The sequence below is a fragment of the Homo sapiens genome, chromosome 13 (genome assembly GCF_000001405.40).
Source record: "Homo sapiens chromosome 13, GRCh38.p14 Primary Assembly".
Lineage (NCBI taxonomy): Eukaryota > Metazoa > Chordata > Mammalia > Primates > Hominidae > Homo > Homo sapiens.
In genome coordinates, this window is record NC_000013.11 from 18586763 (window position 1) to 18593303 (window position 6541).

Consider the following 6541-nt stretch of genomic DNA (forward strand, 5'->3'; position numbering starts at 1 on the left):
ATTCTCTAACTAGGGTTAGAGAATATCTCATTGTTTTGATCTGCATTTTTCTGATGATCAGTCATGTTAAACCTTTTTCATACACCTATTTGCCATTTGCATGTTTCCTGGTGAGAAATGTCTATTTAATCTTTTGCCCAGTTCTTAATCAGATTTCTTTTCTATTGGACTGTTTAAGCATCTCATATACTCTGGTTACTAATTCCTTGTCAGATTGACAGTTTGCAAATACATTATTCAACTCCATGGCCTGTATCTTCAGTTTGGTGATGGTCTTGTTTGCTAGACAGAAGCTTTTTAGCTTAATGTAATCCCATTTATCTGCTTTTGCTTTTGCCTGGATTTTGAGGTCTTAAAAATAATCTTTGCCCAGACCAATGTCCTGGAGTGCTTCCCAAAAGTATACTTCTAGTGTCATAGTTTTATATCTTAGATTTAAGTCTTTAAGTCATTTTGATTTGATTTTTGTATATGGTAAGAAACAAGGGGTTAGTTTCATTCTTCTGCATATGGTTATCTGGTTTCCTAGCACCATTTATTATAGAGACTGTCCTTTTCCCATTGTGTATTTCTAGCATCCTTGTCAAAAATGAATTGGCTCATTTGCGTAAATGTTGTAAATGCGTGATTTACATCTGGGTTCTCTATGATCTTTCATTAGTCTATGTTTCTGGTTTTGTTTGTTTGTTTGTTTGTTTGTTTGTTTTTGAGATGGAGTCTCGCCCTGTCACCCAGGTTGGAGTGCAATGGTGTGATCTCAGCTCACTGCAACCTCCACCTCCCAGGTTCAAGAGATTCTCCTGCCTCAGACTCCCTAGTAGCTGGGATTACAGGTGTGCACCACCACACTAATTTTTGTTATCTTTAGTAGAGACAGGGTTTCACCATGTTGGCCAGGCTGGTCTCAAACTCCTGACCTCGTGATCCACCCACTTCAGCCTCCCAAAGTGCTGGGATTACAGGCATGAGCCACCGCACCCAGCCAATGTTTCTGTTTTTATGCCAGGATCATGTTGATTTGGTTACTATAGCGTTGTAGTAAATTTGGAAGTCATATAGTGTGATGTCTCCAAGCTTTGTTCATTTTGCTCAGGATTGCTTTGGCTACTGGGTTTTTTGTGGTTCTATATCAATTTCAGGATTTGCTTTCTATTTATGTGAGAAACATGAGTATTTTGATAGGGAGTGAAATGGATTTATAAATCGTTTTGGGTAATATTGTTATATGAATCAAATTAATTTTTCTAATTAATGAGTATGAAATAGTTTTCCTTTTTTCTGTCCTCTTCAATTTCTTTCATCAATGTTTTACAGTTTTTCTTGTATACATCTTTTACTTCTTTGGTTAAATTGATTCCTAGGTGTTTCATATTCTCTGTAGCTGTTGTAAATGGTAATTTTTTTATTTCTTTTTCAGATCATTCTCTGTTGGCATATATAAATGCTACTGATTTTTGTATGTTTATTTTCCATCTTGCAACTTTACTGCATTCATTTATCTGTTCTAAGAGTTTTTTCATGGCATCTTCAGGGTCTTTTTCAAGTATAACATTATGTCATCTGCAAACAATGATAATTCAGCTTCTTCCTTTCCAATTTGGAATACTCTTTAATTCTCTTGCTTAATTGCTCTTGCTAAGACTTTCAGTACTATGTTGAATAAAAGTGGTGAAAGTAGGCATCCTAGTCTTGCTCCAGATCCCAGAGGAAAGGCTTTCCATTTTTCTCCCTTGAGTAAGACGCTAGTTGTCGTTTGCCATATATGGCTCTTATTATTCTTAAGTATGCTCATTCTATACCCAGTTTGTGGAGGGATTTTATCTTAAAGAGATGTGGAATTTCATTGAATTTTTTTTTAGCATTTATTTAAATGATCATATGTTTTTTGTTCTCGCTTACTTATGTAATTATTGATTTGTATATGTTGAGCCATCCTTGCATCCCTGGAATGAATCCCAGTTGATTATGGTGTAAGATCTTTTTAATGTGTTGTTGAAATTTGTTTGCTAGTATTTCGTTGAAGATTTTTGCATCTATGTTTATCAGTGATACTGCTCTATAGTATTCTCTTTTTGTGTGTCCTTGTCTGGTTTGAGTATCAAAATAATGTTGGCCTGGTAGAAGGAGTTGGGAAGTACTCACTCTACTTCAATTTTTTAAAAGAGTTTGAGAAGAATTGGTATAATCTCTTTTTTAAATATTTGGTAGAATTCAACAATAAAGCCATAAGGTCTTCCTTTGATGGGAAAATTTTTATTATGACTTCAATCATAATAAAGGTACTCATAATAATATTATTCGCTATTGGTTTGTTGAGGTTTTCTATTTCTTCATGGTTCAAACTTGTAGGTTGCATGAGTTCAGGAATTTATTCATTTCTTCTAAGTTTTCAATTTATTAATTTATAGATGTTTGTAATAGTCTCTAATGATTATTTGTATTTCTGTGGTCTCAGTTTTTATGACTCCTTTTTTGGTTTCTGATTTTATTTAGGTCTTCTCTCTTTCTTATTCTGGCTAAAGGTTTGTTGAATTTGTTTGTCTTTTCAAAAAACAACTTTTTTAAATTGATCTTCTGTGTTATTTTTAGTCTAATTTTTATTCATTTCTGCTAAGATTTTTATCATTTGTTTTCATTTACTCACTTTGGGTTTTGTTTATTCTTGCTTTTCTAGTTCCTTAAGGTGCATTGTTAGATTGTTTATTTTGTTTCTGATTTTTGTAGCTGGGCATATATACATTTATAATTGTTATAACTTCCTGATGAGTTGAATCACTCATCATTTTATAATGTCTTTGACTTCAGTAACAAATTTGGCTTAAAATATATGTGTCTGTATTAGTATATCTAGCTCTATTTTGGCTACTCATGGTATATCCCCTTCCTTCACTTTAATTTCAACGTATTGTGTCTTTGAATATAAAGTATCTCTTTTAGAGAGCATGTAGTTAACCATACTTTTATCCATTCTGCCAATCTCTAAATTTTTAATTTTTGTAATATTTTTATTAAATGTAATTATGATGATATAATTAAAAAAACCAGGATAAATTCAACAGGATAAAATCAAAACTACTTGGAATGGCATATTGATCAATTAAAATCTATATTTCATACATTCTGTTTTATTTCCTTTTTATTTTTTTTCCTTGGGTTATAATGCACATAAAATAAAATTTGATCTCTTAATTATTTTACATATATCATTTAGTGGTGTCGATTACATTTGCAATGCTATGCAACCATCATCATTATTTGCAAAACTTTTTATCATCCCAGGGAGAAATTCTCAACTCAGATAGAAACTTATTAAGCAAGGTGAGTGCTCTTGTTAAAAATCGATTTTCCATAGATGTATAGGTTTATTTCTGAACTCTCAATTTTATTCCATTGGCCTGTATGTTTATCCATGTGCCAGGATCATACTGATTTGATTACCTGGCTTTGTAGTAATTGGGTAGTGTGAGTTCTTTCAATTTGTTCTTTTATTTTTCAACGTTTCCCTTCATTTGCTTTCACCCCAGTCTATGGTAGCCTCTCCTCTATTTTATGTCCCTATAATATATATTTTATATAGGTGGAATCATACAATATTAATACTTTTATGTCTGGCTCATTTCACTCAGCATAATGTTTTCAAGGTTAATCCATGTTTTAGCATGCATCAGAACATTTATTTCTATTGCTGAATAATATTTTATTGCAGTTATATAGAATATATTTTTTATCCATTCATCTGTGGATAGTTACTTGGGTTGCTTTCACTATTTGACAATTATGAATAATAAATATTGGTATACAAGTACCTGCGTGAGATTTTGTTTTCCATTCTTTTGGTCATATACCTAAGAGAGAAGTTGCTGGGTCATATGGGAGTTCTATTATTAACATCTTGGAAAACTGCCAAGCTTTTCTACAGCATCTGCACTATTTTACATTCCCATCATCAATGTCTGAGGGTTACAATATCTCCACATTCTCACCAAGATTTATTATTTTTCTTTTTTTAAAAAATTATATAATTATCCTGGTAGATATGAAGTAACAACTCACTGTGGCTTTTATTTGAATTTCCCTAATGGCTAAAAATGTTGGACGTCTTTTTTGTGTGCTTATTAGTCATTTGTATAACTTATTTGAGAAACACCTATTCAGACGGAGTTTCGCTCTTGTCGCCCAGGCTGGAGTGCAATAGTGCGATCTTGGCTCACTGTAACCTCCGCCTTCCAGGTTTAAGCGATTCTCCTGCCTCAGCCTCCCAAGTAGCTGGGATTACAGATACCCACCACTTCGCCCGACAAATTTTTGTACTTTTAGTAGAGACGGAGTTTCACCACGTTTGCCAGGCTCATCTCAATCTCCCGACCTCAAGTGATTCACCCGCCTCGGCCTCTCAAAGTGCTGGGATTCCAGGCTTGAGCCACCGCGCCCGGATGGTTGTATGCATTTCTGTTGCTAAGTTGTAGGTCTTCCTTGTAGATTCTGATTATTAAACCCCTATTAGATATATAATTTGCAAATATTTTATCCACTTCTATACGTTATTTCACTTTCTTTATAATGTCCTTTGATAAACAATATATTTAAATTTTGATGAATTTCAATTTGTCTAACTTTTCTTTTGTTGCTCATTATTTTAGTTTTACACAAAAATAGATTAAATGCCAAATTTAAAAATCATGTAGATTTACTCATGTTTTCTTCTAAGCATGCTATAAGTTTAGCTCTTATATTGGGTCAATGAATCATGTTGAAGTAATTTGTTATATGGCATAAAACGCAGACCCAATTTTATTCTTTTAAATGTAGAAATACAGTTGTCCCACACCATTGTTGATAAGACTGTTCTTTTCCCCATAGAATACACCTGGTGCTCTTATTAAAAATCAGTGTTCCATAGATGTACGGGTTTATTTCTGGACTCTCTATTTAATTCTATTGGCTTGTATGTTTATCCATTTGCCAGGGCCATACTGATTTGACCATCTAGCTTTGCAGTAATTGGGAAGTGTGAGTCCTTTCATTTTGTTATTTTCTTTTTCAGCATTGTTTGGAGTATTCAGATCCCTTTGCAACTCCATATGAGTTTGAGGACTGGCTTTTTCATTTCTGCAAAGGGGCTGTTGGAATTTTGATAAGAATTGCTTTGAACTTGTAGATCACTTTGGGTAGAATTAGAAACATAACAATACTAAGTCTCCCAGTATTTTCATTTATGTAGGTCTTCTTTAACTTTTTTAGCAATGTTTTGTAGTTTTCAGTGTACAAGTCTTTCACTTCCTTTTTCAAATTTGTTCCTAGGTATTTTATTCTTTGAGATAATATTATACATTGGAATGCTTTATTAATTACTTTTTTTCTACTTGTATTCATAGGAAATATTGGTCTGTAACTTTCTGTTCTTTGGATTTCTCCATCTGACTTTGGTATAAGGATAATGCTTGTCTCATGTAATGACTTAAGAAATGCTCCTTCTTCTATTTTTTGGAAGAATTTAAGATGAATTGGTGTTTATTCTTTTTTACATGTTTGACAGAATTCACCAGTGAAACATCTGATACTGGGCTTTTGTTGTTGTTGAGGAGGAGTTTTGATTGCCGGTCTATTCTCCGTACTTGTTATAGGTCTGTTAAGAATTTCTTCTTCTTCTTGAATCACATTAGGTAATTTATGTGTGGCTAAAAATTTGTCCATTTCATCTAGGTTATATAATTTTGAGGTGTACAGTCCATTTCACCTAGGCTGTCTAACTTTGGGGTGTTCATAGTATTTCTTCACATTTCTTTCTGTCGTTAGAGACAAGTATAATTAATACGTATAAAATATGGTATTCTCCTATTTCCACAATGATCAAGAACAAATTCTTCAATTTTATGTTTTTATTATGTCCTCTCTCCCGAACTTCACTCCTATCATTTTCCTTTCTTGGGAATCTTGGTGAAGGAATTTTGCAAACAACATCAAATTTCAGAATCTGATTTTGGAAATTGTTGACAAGATTCTGGCTAGTTTCAGACATCTGAAAGCTTTGTTGAAAACTAGAAAAGAACTAGAAAATGAATTCACTTCATTCATTGAAGTAAAGAATAAGCATTGAATATAACTTTGTGTGATTTTATGGTTCTTAAGTTGTGTCCAATTTCAGAAAAGAAAAAATAAGTCTCTTTCCTGATGTACTTCATGCTGCTTTGATGACCACTGCCTTGGTTTATGCATTTTTCTTCATATGAATTTCAGCAGTGACCTTTTTATGGATATGTTGTTATTATTAGTAGTAGTAGTATCATCACTTAAGACGGAGTTTTGATCTTGTTTCCCAGGCTGGAGTGCAATGGTGTGATCTTGGCTCACTGCAACCTCCACCTGCCGGGTTCAAGTGATTCTCCTGCCGCAGCCTCCCTAGCAGTTGGGATTACAGGTGCCCACCACCACGCCCAGCTAAATTTTTGTAGTTTTAATAGAGACTGGGTTTCACTATGTTGGCCAGGCTGGTCTCAAACTCCTAACCTCAGGTGATGCACCCACCTCATCCTCCCAAAGT